Raw genomic sequence first — 22474 nt, forward strand, 5'->3', positions numbered from 1 at the left:
CACCTGTAGTCCTAGCTACTCAGGAGGCTGAGGAGGAAGAATGGCTTAAGTTCAGGAGTTTGAGGATGCAGTGAGCTATGATTCCACCACTGCAGTCTAGCCTAGGCAACAGAGTAAGATCCTGTCTCTAAAAAAAAAACAAAAAACAAGTAACAACAAAAACCTAGCATGGTACTGACTGACAGACATATGAGATCAATGGAATAAAGGGCTCAGAAATAAACTTATGCATATAAAGTCAACTGATCTTCAGTAAAGGCGCCAAGAATACACAATGGGGGACAGATAATCACTTTAACAAATGGTGCAGGGAAAGCTGAACACCCACAAGCAGAAGAATAAAATTGAATCTTTATCTTATACCATACACAAAAAGAAACTCAAAATGAATTAAAGATTTAAATTTAATATCTAAAATGTTAAAACTCCAAGAAGAAAACATAAGGGAAATGCTTCATGACTTGGTCTCTGCAATGATTTCTTGGATATGACACCAAAAACACAGGCAACAAAAGCAAAACCAGACAAAATGAACTATACCAAACTAAAACGCTTCTATACAGAAAATGAAACAACCAACAGAGTGAAAAGGCAACCTACAAAATGGGAGAAAATATTTGCAAACCATTTATCTGATAAGGGATTAATATCCAAAACGTATAAAGAACTCCTACAACTAACTACTGTAGTTAACTAAATAATAAATAATAAATGATTAATAAATAACACAATTAAAAATGGGCAAAAGATTTAAATAGAAACATTTCTCCAAAGAAGACATAGAAATGTCAACAAACATATGAAAAGATGCTCAGCCTCGTAAGTAATTAGGGAAATGCAAATCAAAAACATGACGATACATTACCTCACACCTGTTAGGATGACTATTATCAAAATCAAAATGACAAGTATTAGTGAGGATGTGGAGAAATTGGAGTCCTTGGACACTGATGGTGGGAATGGAAAAAGGTACAGCTGCTATGGAAAACAGTATGAAGTTTCCTCAAAAAATCAGAAATAGAACTACTAAATGATCCAGCAATTCTGTTTATGGGTATTTATCCAAAAGAATTGAAATCAGGATCTCAGAGAGATATGTACACTTCCACATTTACTGCAGTATTATTCACAATATCCAAGAGGTAGAAACAACCTCAGTGTTCACGGACAGATGAATGGATAAGCAAAATGTGGTCGATAAATACAATGAAATGTTATTCAATCTTTCAAAAGAAGAAACCCTGCCACATGCTACAACATGGATGAGGCTTGAGGACATTATGCTAAAGGAAATAAAGCAGTCACAGAAGGACAAACACTGCACGATTCTGCTTAGTTAAGGGATGTGGTCAAACTCATAGATGCAGGAAGTCACATGGTGGTTTCTGGGGACTGGGAGAGGGGAAACGGACAGTTGTGTTCCATAGGTATCAAGTTTTCAGTTATACAAGGTGAGTAAGTTTAGAGATCTGCCATAAGACATTGTGCCTGTGGTTAGCAATATTGTATTGCACTCAAAAAAATTTGTTAAAAACCATCTCAAGGTTACATGTTCTTCCCACAATGGAAAAAAAATGAGAGCAAACTCATACATGCAGTAGGTGGCCCAGCGTCTGATCCAGGATGAGCTCAGCACACCAGAGCTCTAGTGGAGGTGGTCCTGCCAGTCTCCGACCACCTGCACCACGCTGGGGGCAGCATCCACCCAGCAACGGCTGGCATTCCAGCTGAGCTTTTGTTTTTCTAAGCGCATTGCATACAGAAGTGCTCGCGAATGTGACAGCTCATGGGGCACGTCTACTCTGGACTTCTGGGACACTGTCCTGTTTGGTTTTAGAAAATTCCTGGGTCAGCCCTTGAAATGAGCTGAGATTGAAATCAGTCAGCAATGGTGGAACATTAATTTCCTTTTCTCCAGTCACTTCTCAGAATCTTTAATATATGATGTGCTTAGGGGTGGGTGGGGGAGGAGGTTATAGACACTACGGTGTCACTTTGACAACTAGTTCCAAAATGCCCTCCCTGTAAATGTCCACGGGGTTCAGTGATCATTTAAACCCACTGGCGAAATTTCCTCCATTGATTGGTCTTTCTCTGCATGAGAACACAGCCCTCACCTCTTCCAGCCCCATGACTCTATGAACTGTCCTCAACTATTCATTCATTCATTCACTATTCATCCCTTCAGCCTCTTTTGCTCGCTAGAGACCTCTGGGCCTGGGCTAGCTGTGCACCCGGAAAACAGAGATGGAAATGCAGGGCCTGGGCCTACAAAGTTCTCGCAATACAGGACAAGGAACCTCACAGACAAAGACAAGCTGGGCAGGGAGCATCCTGACGGAAACCTGCAAGACAGACAGTGGAAGGAGGAACTAAGAACAGCCGGGAGAACCAGGGTTGCCAAGAAGGCCTGTGGGGACGAAAGAGAATGTGGAAGACAGACATTTAGGCAAATGGACAGATCTGAAAAGAAAACAAACAAAGGATGCCTTGTGCAGGGAGCCGCATGCAACTCCACATGGGCTCTGGCCAGAGTGTAAACAGCCATGATGGAGAAAGAGCTGGGAGCCGAGTCAGGAGAGTCGGGAGAGTCAGGAGGGCCTTTGCGGCAGTGGGTTCTCAGACTCCGCTGCATACTAGAAACTCCTGGGAGGCTGGTTCTGCGTTGTTGCTGCTGCTGTTTTTAAATCCATCGTAATGAAGTATGATTTCCATACAATAAAACATACATATTTAACTGTCAAGTTCAACATATTATGACAAATGTATACTTGTATAATCCACACAGAGAAAAGATAAAGCCACTCCATCACCCCCTAAACCTTCCTCCTGCCCCTTTACAACCAATCCAAAGCCCTCTCACCCCTCCAGGACAACAGAGATCTGCTTTCTCTCTAGATCTATCTATCTAGAATTCATATAAATGGAATCATAACAGTGTGTACTTTCTGTGTCTGGCATCTTTCACCCAGCATGCTTTGTTGAAATTCATCCACGTTCTTAAGTGGAGCAGCAGCTTGTTCCTTGTTGTCAGTAGCATTCCACAATACTACAACTATTGATTTATATATAGTTGGCTGCAGGGGTTATTTCCAGTTTGGAGCTATTCTGAATAACGTTGCAATGAACATCAAAGTACAAGTCTTGTACAGGCATGCATTTTCATTTCCCTTGGGTAAGTACCTAGAAGTGAGTTTGCTTCATTGTACAGGAGCTATATGTTTAACTTTAAAAGAAACTGATGAATAGTTCAACAAAGTAGCCACACCATTGTACACTGTCACCAGCAGTACAGGTGCGTTCCACCTATCATACGCCACTGGTCTTCTGGGCAATGTGTGTGTAGGAGTGTCTAATCGTGGTTTTGACTTGAATTTCCCTGAAAATCTGTGACATTGAGCATCTTCTCCCATGCTCATTGGCCATCTATTTACTTTCCTTTATGAAGTGTTTGTTCACATTTTTGCACACTTCTAATTGTGTTGTTTTCATGTTATTGAGTAACAAAATTTATTCACGTATTCTTGATAAAAGAGCTGCATTTTCAGCTCTAAATGTTTGATGTTGTCCTTTTCCTTCCACTCCTTTCCTCATTATATTTATGATTTCCTTTAAATTCTTAAGCATAATTCTAACAATCAACTCAAAGTCTGTGTACGCTAACACCATCATCCTTATCATTTCTGAGTCTGCTTCCAGTGACAGGCTTTCCTCCCAGTTATGGTTCCTATCTTCCTGCTAGTTTTGTAGGGCACTGTGAGTTTTCAGTTGACAAATGTCTGAATGTCGCTGTCATCCTTTAAAGAGTGTCAGGTCTCCTTTTGATTGGCAGTTGCGTTACCTGTGGAGCAGCTCGTTCTTTCTGATGCCTGTTTTCCAGTCCTCTTAAGGCACATCCAGAGTAGCCTTCACCCTGGGGCCAGGCCGGCCCCACTGCTAAGTAGGGGGCTTTTCTGTGGTCTCTCATCCAGAAGGCCTCGGGTGTCCCACGAGGTCCCTCCCCTGGCTGTGAGGCTCTGGGATTCTTCAGTGCACACCTGCCTGGAGTTCTCTGCCTGCCTGCAGGAGTTTCACTCTCCATGTGTTCAGCTTAGGATTCAGCAATGGCCTTGTGGTGACCCCCAGAAGACTCTGGAGCTCTCTCTTTGCTGAGTTCCTTTTTCTCTAATGTTCTGCCCCAAATTTCAGCCCCTTGGCCTCCTGCACTCTGCCCTCCACCCCCGCCACTGAGCAAAGCTGCCATTCTTTGCCATTCCCCATCCCTACCCATCCTTATCCGTCCCAACCCAGCCCTACCCATCCCTACCCAACCCTACCCATCCCTACCTGTTCCTACCCATCCCTACCCATCCCTGCCCACGGGCACTACCGAATTGGCTTCTCTGCCCTCAGAGACCACAGTGCTGTGCTGGGTGGGTTTTGGTTTATTTCTGGGGGGAGGAAGGATTAGGGGGAAGGATTTTTGTCTATTATCTGACGACCCTTATTTAATTCATCCCCCCATAATTTTTAGTGGTTTGCAGCAGGAGGGCAGGCCTGGCACCAGTTGCCCCATCATGGCAGACCCAGTGTGCTCTTAGAGATCTTAGGGCGAAGGCCATGTCCAGATGGGCTGAATTCTTAGGCTCTCCAAATGATTCCAATATTCAGCCAATTTGTGAAAACAAGGCTTTAAGAATGAGGGATCTAACATTACAGGTCAGCATTTCCCAGTCACACTGTCACAGTCTGGAGAGACTGTAAACTATCCCCACCTCCGATGATGATTCAGGCAGTCTGACATGGGGCCTGCACATTCTTTTTAATATCGTCAGATCATTCAAATCTAATGAGAAGCCAGAATTGAGAAACAGATCTGTAGGCACTGGGGAGCCATTGGAAGATTTCAGAAACAGTTAAGGCCAACATTTGGTTTCACACTGGAGTTGGTGGAAGCCCTTAATTTATAAATATTCTCTTAGCACCATGAAAGAGGCAAGGTGTTCACGGGAAGACTGCCATTCCCAAGGCTGCCCGGCAGCCTGTTGTGTCCTCTCTTGCAGCTCTTGAGGCCATATTTTAATTTTGATTCTTCTAATCAAGAGCATTTCGTGAATACCTAATATGTGCCAGATGCTGTCTCGGAGCTGGGGATGGATACACAAGTCCGGTTCTCTGTCCTCAAGGAGCCCGCAGTCAAGCAGGAAGCAGAGAAGCAAGCACAGGCCACGGCACAGTGAGTACAGAGCCATGTCCGCTCTGACAGGCTTGGCAGCGTGCCACAGAGCCTTGAACAAAGGAGAGGCGCCCTGTCCAGCCCCAGCAGTCTAGGAGGCTACCCCAAAAGACAGGCTGTCTGAGCTGGGCTCTGAAGGAAAAGGAGGTGTAGACAGGCGAATGAAGTGGAAGCACTGGGCACTTGCTCTAATCACAAAGCAACAAAAATATAAAACTGAACAGGCCAGAAGCCTGGACGGAAGGGGGAGAGGCTGAGAATGGAGCAGCAGTCAGGGCCCACGTTGGGAAGGGCTTTGGAGACCTCTGATCCTGTCATTAACAGAGCATTGAAGTCAATATGTGCTGGCGGAACACCTTCTCCAGGCCAGTCCTCCCACCATGGGCTTGGAGACCAGGCCCACTCCAACATTACAGGGAGCAGGGTGAGAATACAAACAGGGCCACCTCCCACGCATCTCCACATTTACAACTGCAAATCAAGCAAAGCTAACAGCCCAGTCACACCCCATTCCCTCGCAGGTGTGCGCACACTCAAACACAATACACGCACAGCCAGGGGCCTCCCTGCAGTTCACCCTTCTGACCTGAGGAAAAAGGCAACACCTTCCAGGACCCGCCTGACCACCTGGGAGCCTGAGTGGAGCACAGGTCTGCAGGGCAGGACAGGATGGGGCCTGGGATGGACCTGCCTGAAACCAGGATGGGCCTCCACCTTCCCTGTACACAGCGGGCTCTCTGCAAGGGGCTGTGCCTGTCATTCCCCTCCTCCGAGATCTCTGATGCTCGGTATTCCATCCTACTGGGCATGATCAGACCTCAGCATGATCTCAGACACGGAATAAACCCACGCTACTGAGCATGACATTTCGGTAGGACGTGTGTAACCTGGCTCCTGCCTGCTTTTCCAGCTTCACCTTCTATTTCTCTCGCCCATTCCTTATGTCCTGGCTGTGTCCTCCGCAGCCCCAGGGCCTTTACTCCAGCTGCTGCTTCTCCCTGCCTCTTCCACTGGCCTCTGGGTCCCTCTTACTCCTCAAGGCTCACCTTTGACAGCGCCCTCAGAGACCCTCCTCACTTCCTGTAAGCCCTGCTCAGCACTATCACTTTCCTGTTTCCAGCCTTCACAGCACCTGCCACCAGCCACATTCCTGCTTTCCTGTCCACTTGCTTGTCTGCTCTCCTACTAGAAGATGAGCTCCTATGGGGAGCACAAACCTAACCTTATTCACTGCGTCATTACCGGCACGCACAGTGGCACCTGGCACATGGTGGCACTCAGAAAGCTTCTGAGGAAGGAATGGAGGGTCTTCATTCCATCCCCAATTTGGCCCCAGAGCCACCCAGCACCCCGACTATCACACACTACTTCTCAGTAGCCAACTGTATGAGTCTGTTCTCACACTGCTAGAAAGAACTTTCCAAGACTGGGTAATTTATAAAGGAAAGAGGTTTAATTGAGAGTTTAGCATGCCTGGGGAAGCCTCAGGAAACTTACAATCGTGGCAGAAGGTAAAGGGGAAGCAAGGGACCTTCTTCAGAAGGCGGCAGGAAGGAGAAGTGAATGCAGGAGGAACTACTGAACACCTGAACACTTACAAACCCATCAGATCCTATGAGAACCCACCCACTATCATGAGAACGGTGTGGGGGAAGCGGCCACTGTGATTCAATGACCTCCACCTGGTCTCTCCCTTGATACATGGGGCTTATGGAGATTATAATTTACAGTGAGATTCGGGTGGGAGCACAAAGCCTAAGCATATCACCAACACATTTTGGTTTTCAGTTACTCCTCTTTGGCCCACGTGGCCTTCCGCTTCCTGTGCTCTCACCTCACGTCACCACGCAGTCAATTCTCACGTACCTTTCACGAGCCAGGTAACACGGTACTCACTTTGAGAAATAATCCTACGGCCATCTTGTTCTTAGAGCTCCTAGTTGATTTAGTGTATGTCCCTGTTAGCATGTGGCATTCCAGGGCTCTAAACACATCAGACTGTGCCTTATCCAAGCCTATACCATAAGAGGCCCAGGAGAAATGTTTGTTGAATGGATCGGGGAACAGAACAGTGAACGGCAATAAAGAAAACTTAGATTTTGATAATCAGTAAAAACAGTACCTGAGTACTAGTCACACTATAAGATTTAGTGCATACTTTTTTCCATAAAAGAATTATTTCGGCAGGATGCTGAACTAATACTAACTAGAAATATTTCTGCTTTTGAGGAATTGCTCTGTGTTTCCTTAAGAGCGGGACTTGCGGGCGGGGTATGCATCAAATTTCTCCGAGTGTCTCCTCAGTGGCCCATGTTGCCTGCTCTCTTGTCACCCTTTCGGGTTCACAATTTGCCCGCTTCCTATCACACCCCTAAATGCAAGGCACACGGGTGGCCCTGCCTCCCGAAACATGCTGGCCCCTGCTCTGCCTCTCTGTTGACACTGTGTCTCCTCTTTCCTGCCAGCAAAAATTCGACTCTCTGCTGCAGGCCCTCCTAAAATGGCAGTTCCTCCATGAAGTGAAGGATGAATTCCTTTTTCTCTGTGTAGCCATTTATCTAGTGTGGTTTTGTGACTCAGTGCATCAGAACAGCATACCTGTCTACAATGACATAGTCACATAATTAATTTTCCCAACTCGACTGTTACACTTGGCAGGAATAACAAATTTCTATGCCAATTATACACTAACCCACATGACCCTTTCCTGGAAAATATGAAAAATAGCATTGTGTTCATACAATAATGGGTTATGTGAAATGGTCAGCTTTCTTTTACCTTTTCTGGTTTTACAACGTGACATTCATCGATGTATACCTAGAGTCCTGTGCAACATGAGCTGGAGGTTGCCACTCTAAGGGTAAAAAGGAAGCGGAAACAGAAAAGCACAGGAGCGACAAGGAGGCATTTTAAAACGGATGAAATATAAAGGCTCTTAGGAAACCAAAAGCTAGGATGGCAGTCTTTATCTCTACCTGATAGCACACGTTGCATGCCAGACCCAGAGCTCCTGGAAGGCAGGAAAGATATTATACTTGTGAATTTCCCCTGCAGGCGCACAGGGTCCTCCCAGAATTAGAGAGGTAACAAAGCAAAGAGAAATTGACATGCATATTCCAGAGGCTTAAATGCTGGAGGGCTAAGTGCAGCGGCAGGAAGCTGTGAAGAAAAGAAAACTTCAGATTCTTGTCCTGGGAATTGCACAAACATTAGCCAGTGTTATCTCAGCAACATTACTAATTCCTGGCAATAGGATCTCTAGGAGGTATTTCTCTGTGACTGGTTTGGACACCAGATTAAAGAAAAAGGATACAGTATTATGGCCTGGATGTGCTGCTAGTATACAAAAGACTCCCCCCATTCACTGCAGGATTGTAAAGGCCTCTACCCATCCAAGTCTCCTGAAACAATGTTTGTCCATGGGAACTACAAGTGCAGTACCTCTTCTCTACAGTGAGAAGAAATGATCCTGTTACATTCACACAACTGTCATCTCCCCTTCCTAATGAGCACAGACTTCGCCCAAAGGATAAGGTTGGTGATCTTGGCAGTAAGATATCATCCCCTATAACCAAGGAAGACATTATATCCATATGCTTAATACAACTTGTATTGATGCTCCTTACCACGGTTATTTACCTTGCCACAATAATCCCTTAAGCCAAAATCTAATCCAGAGCAATGCCCTAACTCTCTTTAATTCTATGAAACATGAGAGAGATGAAGAAGCTGCAAAAGAAAAGTCTGAAGCTAGCAGAGGTTGGTTCATGAGGTTGAAGGAAAGAAGTCATCTCCATAACATAAAAGCGCAATGTGAAGTGGCAAGTGCTGATGAAGAGGCTGGAGCAAGACATCCATTAGACCTAGCAAAGATCATTGAGGAAGATGGCTACACTAAACAACAGATTTGCAGTGTAGGTAAAACAGCCTTCTACTAGAAGAAGATGCCATCTAGGACTTTCATAGCTGGAGGGCAGAAGTCAATGCCTGGCTTCAAAGCTTGAAAGAACAGGCTGACTGTCTTGTTAGGGGCTAATGCAGCTGGTGACTTGAATTTAAAGCCAACACTCATTTCCCATTCTGAAAATTCGAGGACCCCTAAGAATGATGCTAAATCTACTCAGCCTGTGCTTTTAAGTGGAATAACAAAGCCTGGATGACAGCGCATCTGTTTATAGCATGGTTTCCTGAATATTTTAAGCCATCTGTTGAAACCTACTGCTTAGAAAAAAAGATTCCTTTCAAATATTATTGCTTATTGACAATGCACCACGTCACGTAAGACAGCTGATGGAGATGTACAAGAAGGTGAATGTTGTTTTCAAGCCTGCTATCACAGTATCCAATCTGCAGCCCATGGATCAAAGAGTCCTGGGAATTTTGCAAACATTGACATTTGCCAATGTATCTTTACATGTACATGTATTCTTTAAAAAATGCATTCCATAAGGCTACAGCTGCCATAGATAGTGATTCCTCCGATGGATCTGGGCAAAGTACATTGAAAACCTTCTGTAAAAGATTCACCATGCTAGATGCCAGTAAGAACATTCATGATTCCTGAAAGGAGGTCAAAATAGCAGCATGAAAAGGTGTGTGGAAGAAGTTGAATCCAGACCTCATGGATGACTTTCAGGGGCTCAAGACTTTGGCAGAGGAAGTAACTGCAGATATGGTAGAAATAGCAGTAGAATTAGAATTAGAAGTGGAGTCTGAAGATGTGACAACCGACTGACATGTGACTCTTGTGGATGAAATCCACCACTGATGAACAGGAGGGAGACATGGGAGCAGTAAGTGGGGTGGAGAGTTCACAGAAGCACTTTGTAAGCCCCGGGAGACCTGAGCCTATGTGAAGGGAGACACTGAAGATGCCGATGGTCATCAGATGGCTGTGAGCTCCTTAAGAATGGCGATTGTGCTGTGTTTAATGTCGCTCCCCCACGGGCCACACAATGAATATCTCTTGAAGTGCAGTGAATTGAACTGAACTAAGTTGATATGAGCTGGGGCAAGACCTGTGAGATTGAGAATACAGGCAAAATGAAATGTCTGTCTGAGAAAATGAATACCAGAAGTTTTTATTAGGTTTACTCTAGACTACAATTTGTAAATACGTCAATGTAAAGACATTAATCAGTGAGTAATTACATGCAGCATGCAATTCTCAACCAGCAGGGAGGTACTTAACACCTACTCGGTGCAAAGCCTATATAAGTCCAATATATAATGGAAAACTATTGTGTTTAAAAAGAAATCTGAAAAGGAGACAGAGATCAAAGATACCTGGCACCAAAGGATGGGCACCCTCATCTCAGGGAGCAGTGCCAAGGGGCACAAAGCATGCCTGATGAAGGGAAGCTGCAGTCTTTTCCCTGCAGCACTTGCAGGGGAGCTGTCAGAGGAAGAAAGGCTCCTGCATGTGAAGCCAAGCCATCTACTGACAGGCACCCTCTCCAGGTTCCAGCTGTAAGCTTAGGGAAAACATCTGTAAGGACAAGTGACAGGAGTCTTGAATAGGGTAAACGTATTTCCTCTGCTTGAAACATTTTTGTCACATATCTGTTCAACAGAATGTAAGCAGTCATTCAGAGAAAAAGCCATGGCTTATGAAAGACCCATTTCTTTCTAATTCAATCTTCTAAGGTTTGTTTTGTTTTGTTTTGAGACAGATTCTCGCTCTGTCTCCCAGGCTGGAGTGCAATGGCGCAGTCTTGGCTCACTGCAACCTCCGCCTCCCGGGTTCAAGTGATTCTCCCGCCTCAGCTTCCCAAGTAGCTGGGACTACAGGCGTGTGCCACCAAACCCAGCTAATTTTTTGTATTTTTACTAGAGACAGGGTTTCACCATGTTAGCCAGGATGGTCTCGATCTCCTGACCTTGTGATCTGTCTGCCTCGGCCTCCCAAAGTGCTGGGATTACAGGCCTGAGCCACCACGCCCCACCAACCTTCTAAGTTTTTAAATGATCAAATTGGGCTCTTGGCAATAGACCACCTGTTCTGATTTCCCTCAATCCCATGAGAACTACTGTCCATGTCCACTTACGTGAGGACAGAGCTTGGTCCCTGGTTGCATCTAAGCAAAGAAAAGAACTGAAAGCGAACTTGGGGGCATCTTCCTCAATTTCTTCATTTTGCAGATGAAAATCCAGAGAAGAGAGTGACTTGATCAAGGTCACAGGGCAAATAAAGGGACAATATAAACACAGTAAAGGGGGTGAGTATCAAATACAAGAGTCTTATTTTCTTTCTCTATATGTGTTATTAACCTAGACCAATCAGAGCTCATGCAGAGAAAAGGCAAGACTTGTGAGAAAAAGATGTTGCAAAGGAAGGAAAGAAGTCCAGAGAAGCTTGGCTGCCAACTTCAGTGCTCTACAGGACTGTGGAAAGAAGAACTGAGGCACGCATCATGTCACCAGTGGAAGCACCTGGCCCATACCCAGCCCCACACCTGCAGTGTCTGAGCAGGCATGTTTTCTCATTAGGCAAGTAAAACAAGCGGATTTATGTGTCCATTTTTTGTTGCCCGTATTGCTTCTGAACTTTGCACTTACCTATAGTATGTGTATGCGGGTGGGTGGAGACCTCGTGTGGGAATTGTCAGTCTCCTGTGTCTGAGCTCCTTACAAGCAAGGATTATGACGGATTCACCCTCACGGCCCCAGTGCTATGCGTGCCACCCAGTAATAGAGCAGAGCTGCCTGGGGAAGTGGAAGGCTTCATGGAGGTGTGACATTGAGGCATTTAAGAAAGAAATGGTAGCTTCTGAAGGGATGAAGAGAATACAGAAGGCTTTCCAGGCAAGGGAAGCAGCTCTGTTTTCTGCTGGCCATGAGCAGCCTTGAAGACACAGATGCCAAATGCAACCAGAAGACCAATTAGACTTGCAGGGAACTGAGAGAAGTCACAGTCACCTCGCATCAGGGCAAAGACGCTTGGGCAGGCTGCACAAGTGACATGAACTCTTACATTTGGAGGGGACCTTCACTCAGGAATTTTAAACAATTATGAATTAAATAAGTTTCACTTTCAAAAACATTCCCATCATTAATATTGCTCTTCCAAATGAATGATTCAAACTCAGCCACGCTTGTCATGAAATCAGGCCGCTAGTTAAACAAGAATGGATGATCACCTGCCTTATGAAATTCTTCAATCGAAATAGCTTAATTCATCCATTTGTATTTTGCAGGCCACAATCAAAGCCTAATTAGTTTACCACAAACAGCACTACTCTGGACGCTTGTTCAATCTGCATTCAGAACAGCTCTTCATTTGGCACAACGATATAGCTTTGCCTAATAAATTAAATCAGTGAGTATTAACTACCTGAATTATGCATGAACCTTTCTGTGTCAATGCAAGTTTGATTATTTAATCTGTGTAACTATATTGAGTAATTCACCTTTGAATTTCCCTTGCATCCACAATATATAGGGGATAAAAAAACACAAGAAGGAAAAGATTTTTAAATGATGCCGACAAACTCACTTTCTGAAATGCACAAGCCAACTGGCTGTGCCTGAGTCCAGTTCCCAGCACAAGCAAAATGAGCAGGCCATGCCCAGGGCTCAGAGCACAGTTACGCTTATCAAAGGGAGCTGTCCCGATCCCCTCCTGAAGCCGCTGTGCTCAAGGAACCATTAAAGAATGCAAGCATAACAGCAGAATTCAGTATCTGCTGAAGAAGAAAACATATTCAATTGAATGTTGCTATTCTCTCACCACTGAGTGTAGCAGTGGCGCAGAAACCTCAGGGCCCACGATCTGAAGGTTGGCTCAAAGCCCACTGTCAACCTTCCCTGCCCACCCCACCTGGGCAAATCAGCAACTTAAGGCCTCAGTCTATTCCTCTAAACAGTAAGAATGTGATCCACCTTAAACGGCGGGGGTGGAATTTGGTGGGCATGGGTAAGGCACCAAGACGTAAGTGCTCAGCACAGAGGTCTGAAAAGGCCTCAGTGTTGCTTCACTGAGGGCGGTCCCTCTGGGCCCTGTTTACTTGCACGCAACTTATAAATGAGTATAATCTGCATAAACTTAGACAACTTTGTGGCCTGCAAATCACATTAATATACCCCATATGACCCCACAATACAGCATCACTTAAATAAACCATAAGCCACCAGAAATGTTTCCTGCTGATGGGTGTATCAGGCAGGGTTCTCTAGAGGACCAATCAGACACAGTGTGTGTGCACATGAGACATGAGAGGGGATGTATTAGGAGAACTCAATCCCTAGGTTCACCACACCAAGCCGCCTGCAAGCTGGAGAACCAGAGGAGCTGCAGGTCCGAAAGCCTCAAAGCCAGTGAGGCCAGTGCTGTAGCCCTTGGTCCAAAGCCACAGGCCGAGAACCCTCGAGGCTGCTGCTGTCAGTCCTAGAGTCCAAAGGCCCGGGAGCCCAAAGTTCTGATGTCCAAGTGCAGGAAGAGAAAAGTGTTCCAGCTCCAGGAGGGGAAGACAATTCTCCTCTCCTCTGCCTTTCTGTTCCACCCAGGCCCCCGGCTAATGGATGGTGCCACCCACACTGACGGTGGATCTTCACCACACAGTCCCCCAACTCACACGCCAGTCCCCTCAGGGACACACCCAGCGGCAACGCGTTACCAGTTCTCCAGGTATTCCTCAATCCAGTCAAGGTGACAACCAAAATTCACCAGCACGAGGGGCACTGAAGTTGTTCTCGTATTTGCTAATACAAATACACTTGGAAGGGCATCTTCACGCATACCTTTTTTTCTACTTTTGAATTATTTTAAGGTAGAGGCAACATATAGAAATGTCACAGCACAGATGATATGTGTTAACATGCAGCCTTCTTAAGACATTGTACCAACTTACATTGGCAACAGAAACATATTCATATGTCAGTCTCCATAAACTTTGTCAGCACTGGAATTAATGTAAAAAAATCCATGCATATATCCATAATACATACGCATATATATAATATATACATACCTACCTACATAATGATGGCTCAAAGCTATGTGATTTTTCTTTCAATAATCGACACTTAATTAGTAATTCCATGAGGAAAAATGATGAGAAAAACCAGACTGTTCTTGCTCCATAATTAGACAAGGAGCTCCTTGAGGGGAGGAACAGTAGGGCCTCGTTTCGAAATTGACCATAGTGACAGAAGAGTGTGGCAGGTTCTCAAAACACGCCAAAAACTGGCTCAGAAAGATCAGGCTGCTCACCAGCATTTCACACCAGCAGGGCTGTCCCCTAAAGCCACACACACAGACTCTCCATAGAGCCACACATGATCAAAGCCATCAGCAGGCCCAGGAAACACTTCCAGGAGGGCTGGAGACAGGCAAACAAGCATTGCCAGGCAGCTGTGGGTGCCAGCCCCTCCACGTCTCTTACCTACAGCCCTGGGTGCCAGGCCCTCCACGTCTCTTACCTACAGCTCAGGCTCTGTTGTGAAGCAGAGGGACGGGGGGCCCAGGCCTTGGCAGCACTCGGCCAGAAGCAACGGGAGCAGGACCACCAAGCGTTAGTGCGTGCGATCGTTCTAGCATATTGAGCTTTGGTGCCCCATATTATCTCACCTAATCCTCACAGGTAAATATTATTTTTTCTCCAATTTCCAGATGAAGAAATGGAGGATCAGATCATGAAACCTGCCTGAGCTGAAGCCAAGGCTAAGTGATAACAGCTGATTCAAACTCATGTCTGGCTTATATTGAAACCCACTGCCTTACCTACAGCTTGTGGTTGTGCCTGATGGACTGAGCTGCAAGAAGGGACTGCTGGAGGCCAGGAACCTCTGTGGACCAGCCCTCGACACTCACAGTCTCGCTCTCACTCCAGCGGTCATGCTGCTCAGTCCCTGGCCCTAAAAGGCACCAGATCTACTTTGTCCTTTAAGCCCCAACCAGGCTTCTTCTGTGGGCAAGGAGACTGGCAGAAAAGAACAGGCACTTTCCCTGGAAGAGTGAGGAAACACGGGCTCAAGCGTGCAGTCTCCCCCTTAGAAAGCAGCCCTGTGATACTGGAGGAAGGCACAATGTCTTGGGAGGCCCTGACGTGCTGGACAAAGGGGCCTTCCCTGGAGTTGCACAGTCCTGCCAGAGGCCCGGTGCCTGCCTCTGGAACCCTCAGTCTGCCCGTGTAGATGGGGACGGTAACGCCTGCCCCACAGGGTCTCTGGGGGTTAAGTTGATGACACATGCAATAATGCAGGGGTTCTATAAGCAGTGGCTCCTTTCTCTCAATGGGCCTCTCTGGACAAGCAGATACCACGCTCTGGCTCATAAAACGCACAAAAGCTCTGAGCAAATTGTTAAGACAAAAGTAGCTAAGAGATTTTGAAACACACACACTGCGTATGACAAGCAGTAGGGAAAAGACAACACCATAGCCCAGCGGGGTTGATCCCGGGAAAACAAGGACCAGTTAGCACTGGAGTCAATCAGTGCGCTCTGCCACATTCACAAAATCAATGATTAAAATCACACAATCATCTCAACTGACGCAGAAAAAGCACCTAACAAAACTATAAGGCATAAAACAGAGCAGCAGCTGTCAAGAGTTTGGAGTAGGGGCCAGGGTTGCCTACAAGGCAGTATGAGGGGACATTTTTTTAAGGTGAAGAAATTGTTCTGTATCTTTATTTTGTTGGTGTGGTTTCACAGATAACCTTGTCAAACCTCACAGAATTGTACACCAACGAGAGTGAACTTCAGTGCATGTAAATTATATTTCAATAGATCTGAATTTTTAACAAATGAAGAGGCAGCCGGGCACAGTGGCTCATGCCGTAATCCTAGCACTTTGGGAGGCTAAGGCGGGCAGCTCACAAGTCAGGAGTTCAAGACCATCCTGGCTAACACGGTGAAACCCTGTCTCTACTAAAAATACAAAAAATTAGCCAGGTGTGGTGGCATGTGCCTGTAGGAGGCTGAGGCAGGAGAATCGCTTGAACGCGGGAGGCAGAGCTTGCAGTGAGCCGAGACTGCGCCACTGCACCCCAGTCTGGGCGACAGAGCGAGACTCCGTCTCAAAAAAAAAAGGAGGAGGAGGAGGAGGAGGAAGAGGAGGAGGAGGAGGAGAAAGGAAGGAGGAGGAGGAGAAGGGAAGGAGGAGGAGGAGGAGGAGGAGGAGGAGGAGCGGTGGTGGTGAAGAGGCAAGCCACAGATATACACTAGGAGAACGTATTATATCTATATATTCAATGCATATATATATATATCTTCACTATATGTGTGTATACATAACATAGTGTCACTATATGTACATAAATATATGTGCATATGTATATATATATCTTCACTAGATACATCTTCACTTCACTGTATATCTGACAAATTATTTAGATCCAGAATATTCAAGAACTCCTACGAGTCTATAAAAATACAAACAACCCATAAAATGAACAAAAGGCTTGAACAGACACTTCAGAAAGGAAAATATATGAATGGCCAATAATCACATGAAGAAGTGTTCAATGTCCTTAGAATTAGGGAACCATAAATTATAATCAATGAAAAGATAATCACCAGAATGACTACAGTTTTAGAATGTGATCCCACTGTACCATGGTGAAGGCGCACAGCACCGGAGCTCTTACACTGCCGGGGGAATGTAAAATGGAGCAACGATTTTATAAAACTGTTTTGATAGTTTCTTATAGTTAAACCCACGCTTAGTATATGACCTAACAATTCTACCCCTTAATAACTCCTAGTATTTCCAATTTATCAATATTTCCAAGAAAGAAAAATCATGTCAACAAAATTACTTGAAAAATGTTCATAACAGCTTTATTCATAATAGTCAAAAACTGAAAACAAATGTCTATCAATAGGAGAATAAACAAATTACAGTGTGTCCATGCAATGGATTACTAATTGAGCAATAAAAAGAAATGAACTACTGATACAACAACTGGGATAATCTCACGAACATTATACTGAGCAAAGAAGCAGGACAGAAGAGCACTTATGCTGAGGTGCCTATTATGTGACACTCTAAACTAGGCAAAGGCAAAAACATCAGAACTGAGGACACCTCTAGTTAGCGTATGGGGATTAACCTAGATGGGATACAAGAGAACTTTCTGGGGAGATAGAAATGTTCTACGAGGGAGAAGGGTTAATAGAATGTATCCATCCATCCAAACTGTAGAGTTAAGATGTGTGTGTTTAAATGTGTGTAGCTTTACCTTGAAATAAAGTAACTGAAGCTCATTATCATCATCATTCTCAACACCGTCACTCAGTATGGGATGGTGACCTGGGTAGGGATGATAAAGATGGGAATGGCTCAACGTTGATGATTACTGAAGCTGTTAATGGATGTGTGGATGGTTCCTCACATTCTTCTGTTTACTTTCTATACGTTTAAAATTTTCCCTAGTAAATGAGTTAAATTTAATCACCTATTGCATCCCTGATATACGTCTGCCTTGCATGTTCACACCTGTGACCTCATTAAATCCTCCCAGCAATCCTGTGAGGCAAGTCCATTGTCCAGGAGAAGAAAATGAGACGTGGAGAACCAGCCAAGGACCCCCATGTCGCCTTTCATCCCTCCTGCCACTGCCCAATGCAGGTCTTTACCGTCACAGACAGGAAGTGCTCCCGATCACGGACAAAATTCCAAAGGCATCGTGGGTCAGACAGCACGGAATGAGTAGTGCAGGGCAGGTAAGCAGACCTCACAGAGGTCCAGAGGACAGGAGGCAGTCAGGGTTGCTTTCCTGACAAGACTCCTCCTCCTCCTACACCCCTCCAGCCCAGGGACACTGGAGTGGGCGGGCCCTGGGACACAGCATCCCCCGAACTACCCAGCAATCAGAACTCCAGTGGTCACAGCCGTGCTTCACTGTCACCCTAAGGAAGAAATGCTCAGAAAAGCCACTACTTTGGGCTTCAGGGCAAGTGCATCCCCTTCCAGCTTTTCCCCGTCCCTCTTCCTCATCTCCAAAAGGGAGGCCACTTCATCAACATCTGCTTCCCGTCCACCAGGGTCCCTCCGTAGGGGAAGGAAGGAGATGCACAGAAGATGGCAGGGTGGGAAGGATACATGGGGTTCTTGGCTGATGTCGCTGCACTTAACAAACACTTACTGGGCTCTCGTTGTCAGACAGACTTTGTTCTGGGCACTTGAAAAACTCAGAGGAAAGACAGTCCCCGCCCTGAGGGGGCCAATTCCTTAGGAGAAGACAAGCAGGATCAAGCTGTGAAAGACCTCAGCTCGGTGGAGTCACAATCTGATTGTGGGCAATGCAGGCCTCTTGAAAGAAGGGCCGCTCAGTGGAGAGCTCTGGAGGTCCTTCAGGAAGAGAGAACGTCGGGCACAGACAGGAAGGGGTCAGAGGGCAGGGACTACGGGACCACAGCAAGTAGCTGGGCCTCTGGTGCTGTTGATCGCCAGTGGTATGACCTGCATTCAGATGCTGATCCCTGTAAGCACCTCAGGAAAATTGCTACCCAATTTTTTTAGATGAGGGGACTGGAACCCAGAAAAGAGACATCACTTGCCCAATGTCAGCCTTCATGTTAGAAGAGATCTGAAGCCTAGACCTCCTGCCTCTGACCCACTCTCCTCTGCAATAAAAGGAGGCAATGTGTGCCCATCAAGAAGGTGACCATCAGAGCCCTGCAGACAGGGCTCGGCCCCAGAGCAGGTGACTCCAGAAAAACACCACCCTTCTTTGCCTTCTAGGCCCTGCGTCTTATAAAATGGAGTTACCGACACCTACCACACTAGACTGTCTTGGAGGTTAAATGCTATAATGTACATAAAACTATTCACAGAGAAACTATGTTTTTATTGTTACTCATTACAAAGATTATTTTAATAACTCTTGACTAGTTGGGGCCAACTTAGTAGCAGCTCTGTGTGGTCATCACGGAGTGAAGACAGAGAAGATCAGCCCACAGACAGCACGAATGTCAGACCTCAACTCTGTCATTATGGACAAAGTCCCCACATCCCTCTCCTCCTCCAGCCTGCTTATCGCCACCATGTGGGATGCAAAGGCACTTATTCCTCCTCCATTAGGAGGGTTTCAGCACCATGGAACTGCCTTCGCTGCCGCCATATAAGTAGCTAGCCAGTGTCATCACTGCCACCACCATCATCAGCTCCAACATTTGTTAAGCATGTATATTATATGCACGTCAGTAAAGTGAGCACGGCACAGCATCATCCCCCTTCTTTCCTATAACCACTTTTCCATAGGAGAAAAGAAGAGGCTGCCAAGTGTTCGGATGCCCTTCACTGTAGAGGCATCCGACACATTGGATGTAGAGCCAATGTCTGTGATATTTCTAGGGCTGTACACATTTTCACCTTCAGCTGCAACAGCTGTAAGGAAAATATCCTTCTGAAGCTGGACACGGGGCATTTTGACTCACTTCTGCTTAGCTGCCTTTTGCAGTTACTGATTTGAAGCAACTAAACATTGGAGTGAAATCTCTTATGATAGCCCACTTCTAATGCAACGATAACGAGAAGAGCAGTGCTAATAATAACAGCTAACAGGAAGCCCTTGCTTTCCTGCAGGCTTTGCACATGATTCTTGTAAACCTCAGGCCAGTCCTGAGAGGAGGTGCTATCACGATCCCCATTTTACAGGTGGGGAGATGGAGAGACGCAAGCTGTCCAACCACTCTTAAGCACTGTATATATACATAGCAGCACTGTGACGAGTCTACATAAGGAAGAGAGTTTCTGATTTGCATGTGTGGAACACAGCATGGCCTATAAATGTCCACTTGATGACATCACTGCCAAAATGGCACCCCGGAGAGCCTCGAAAAGAGCTGCCCTCCCCTGGCTGCTGTGTGTGTGGCCCTTGCTCGTCAGTGGGCCTTCGGTGACACTCTCCAGTGACACCACCGTGAGAGCTGCATCCTTGCTTTACAACTCGTGCATCCTTGCTTCACAAAGTAAAAAGTCCACAGACACTGTTCTTTCTGAAAAAGCCAGGATCTAGCTAGGATCAAACATCAAAGAAAGTGAGGTCAAAGGAAGAGTGCAGAGGAGAGCGCCAGGCCTCCCGAGCCAACGTGTGTCCATCCGCATTCCACGCTGTGTCCCTCAGGCCATGGGGCCCATCCCCTCTGGGTGCCCATCTGAAACTCAGAGATGACAACACCCGATTCCTAGGCCACTCACTGTGAGGTCTGAATACGATCACGAAGATCGGCCGTGGCACCCCAAGGCTGGCCTTGGCATCGGCGCCTACTGTCACACAGCCCTCACCAAGGCCACATCCAAGCTGCTATGAGTTCATCCATGCAAGCAACTATCATGCGCCAGTTAAAATTTGTAGTTGACATAGATGTAATTACATCTGACATAAACATAAAATGTAAATAACATTTATATAATGTATAGAAAACATAACCACAAAATCAGCTGGGTACAATAGTTCACATCTGTAATCCCAGCACTTTGGGAGGCTGAGGCAGAAGGATGGCTTAAGCACAGGAGTTTAAGACCAGCCTGGGCAACATAGCAAGACTCTGTCTCTATAAAAAATTTAAATATTAGCTGCGCATGGTAGCACACACCTGTAGTCCCAGCCACTCGGGAGGCTGAGGCAGGAGGATCGCTTGAACCCAGGAGGTAAAGGATACAGTGAGCCTAGATTGTGCCACTGTGCTCCAGCCCGAGTGAGAGAGCCAGATCCTATCTCAAAAGAAAAAAAAAGGAAGAAAATATAACCACAAAATATAAATATAATACATATTTGTTTGTGTATTGAACAAATATCTTCCCATTAGACTGAAAGCTTCATGAGGACAGGGATCATGGTTCACTTGTTCAACAGAAGATAATAAATAATGGTTGAGTAAATGAATAAATGGGTGAATGAACATAATCCTTGCTCTTAGGGAACATGTAGCTTAGTGGAAAAGAATAAAAAATAAAAAGATAATCTAATGACTTTCTAGCTTTCTTTTCTGTCATCTCAGAGAGTTAGGTACCAAGGCAGGTGTGACCAGATGCCTACTCTCTAAGAGCTGACCCCAGAGATCCCAGCCTGAGCCCCAGGGCTGAGGCAGCCCAGAGAAGGTGCCTTCCGCTATCTTCTGCTTGCATGCATTTGAGCAGGGCAGATGCTTGCTGGGGGGACTCCAAGGCCAAGTGGCTGGTCGATGTGATGTGATGGACAAGGCAAGGACACAGAACAGGGAGAGGACCCTTCCCACTGTGGACATCAGGAGTCGCTTCCTGAACAAGGCGGCAGCTGGGCCAGGCCCCAGGGATGGGACCAGAAATGTTGAGATGGGGAGAAAGCAATGCAGGCGGAAGAATGATTGTGTAGAAAACGGAAAGGCAGGAAAGCTGCAGGACCGCAGGGCCAGAACAAGAGAAACCTGGGAGAGGAGATGGAAAAGGCTGCGTGGCCCCAGATAGAAAAGTCCAGCATGGACAATCGTGATGTTTCTTATGGAAAAACATGACTTTCCTCAGAAAATGGAGAACTTTATCCTGCATTTGTCATGGAGATAAAATAATTAGATACAAAGTGTGAAAAACCAGTAACACTAGTAGAAACACTGCAAGGCAAACTGTCTTCAAAGCATGCAGTTCATCTCCATTTAACTGGAAATTACTGTGAAAGAAAGAAAAACTGTCCCAGAATCAGCTTCCAGACAAGAAAGAACCTGTTCCAAACCATCTCTTCATGCTTTTCTCTGCGTTCAAATTGCAAAAATACAAAGTTGTATAGAATTTTGGAAGAACTTTTCAGAGAACATTTCATTTTAACAAAAGGCAAGGAGAAAACTGCAAAAGTGCTTGTGGTTTTATAGCAGTGCCATGGGAAGACACTGCTGTTATGCTGAGAGAAGGTAAGTCACGCAGGAGTGGCTGGACTCAAGTTCAAGCCCAGGCTTTTCAGCACTCTTTGATCCCACCAAAATCTTGGCCTCAGGCAGGGAGGGTGGAGTGGCAACTGCACTGGATGGAGGCTTAGTGAGGTACATGGCTGAACACGGGGGAGGGCTTCCAGATATGGGACAGAAGGCCAGAGGTGGGATGGGGCAGGGATGAATGGATGGAAAAGAGCTTCCTAGGTGGGGAAAGGAAATTATTCTAGGAACTGAAGGCAGTATGGGCAAAAACATGAATCACAAGGACAAAGAGGGGTCTGATAGAGGAACTGCACCCACTTTAAGAAGAGGCAGCTCAGGGTTGAGAATGTGTCATCTTCTGAGGAGCCCATGCAGGAACTGAGAGGATGTCACATGCAGGTACACAGGAGCCACAGTCCCAAACT

General features: G+C 45.9%; 1 protein-coding gene across 15 annotated transcripts in view, besides 2 other annotated features; it reads right to left on the bottom strand.

The window, feature by feature from the left end:
* TRAPPC9 (trafficking protein particle complex subunit 9) overlaps window positions 1–22474 on the bottom strand; it is a 730855-nt gene that overhangs the window by 328557 nt on the left and 379824 nt on the right. The gene's annotated exons all lie outside the window — the stretch shown is intronic.
* Window positions 1194–1695: an enhancer, noted in NCBI's record as "H3K4me1 hESC enhancer chr8:141067573-141068074 (GRCh37/hg19 assembly coordinates)". NCBI's record gives its function as "activates a minimal SCP1, AML or CMV promoter by ChIP-STARR-seq in primed H9 embryonic stem cells {active_cell/tissue: H9 hESC(primed)}" and the evidence as "EXISTENCE:reporter gene assay evidence [ECO:0000049][PMID:30033119]".
* Window positions 5492–6333: an enhancer, noted in NCBI's record as "H3K27ac-H3K4me1 hESC enhancer chr8:141071871-141072712 (GRCh37/hg19 assembly coordinates)". NCBI's record gives its function as "activates a minimal SCP1, AML or CMV promoter by ChIP-STARR-seq in primed H9 embryonic stem cells {active_cell/tissue: H9 hESC(primed)}" and the evidence as "EXISTENCE:reporter gene assay evidence [ECO:0000049][PMID:30033119]".

The sequence above is a fragment of the Homo sapiens genome, chromosome 8 (genome assembly GCF_000001405.40).
Source record: "Homo sapiens chromosome 8, GRCh38.p14 Primary Assembly".
Taxonomy (NCBI): domain Eukaryota; kingdom Metazoa; phylum Chordata; class Mammalia; order Primates; family Hominidae; genus Homo; species Homo sapiens.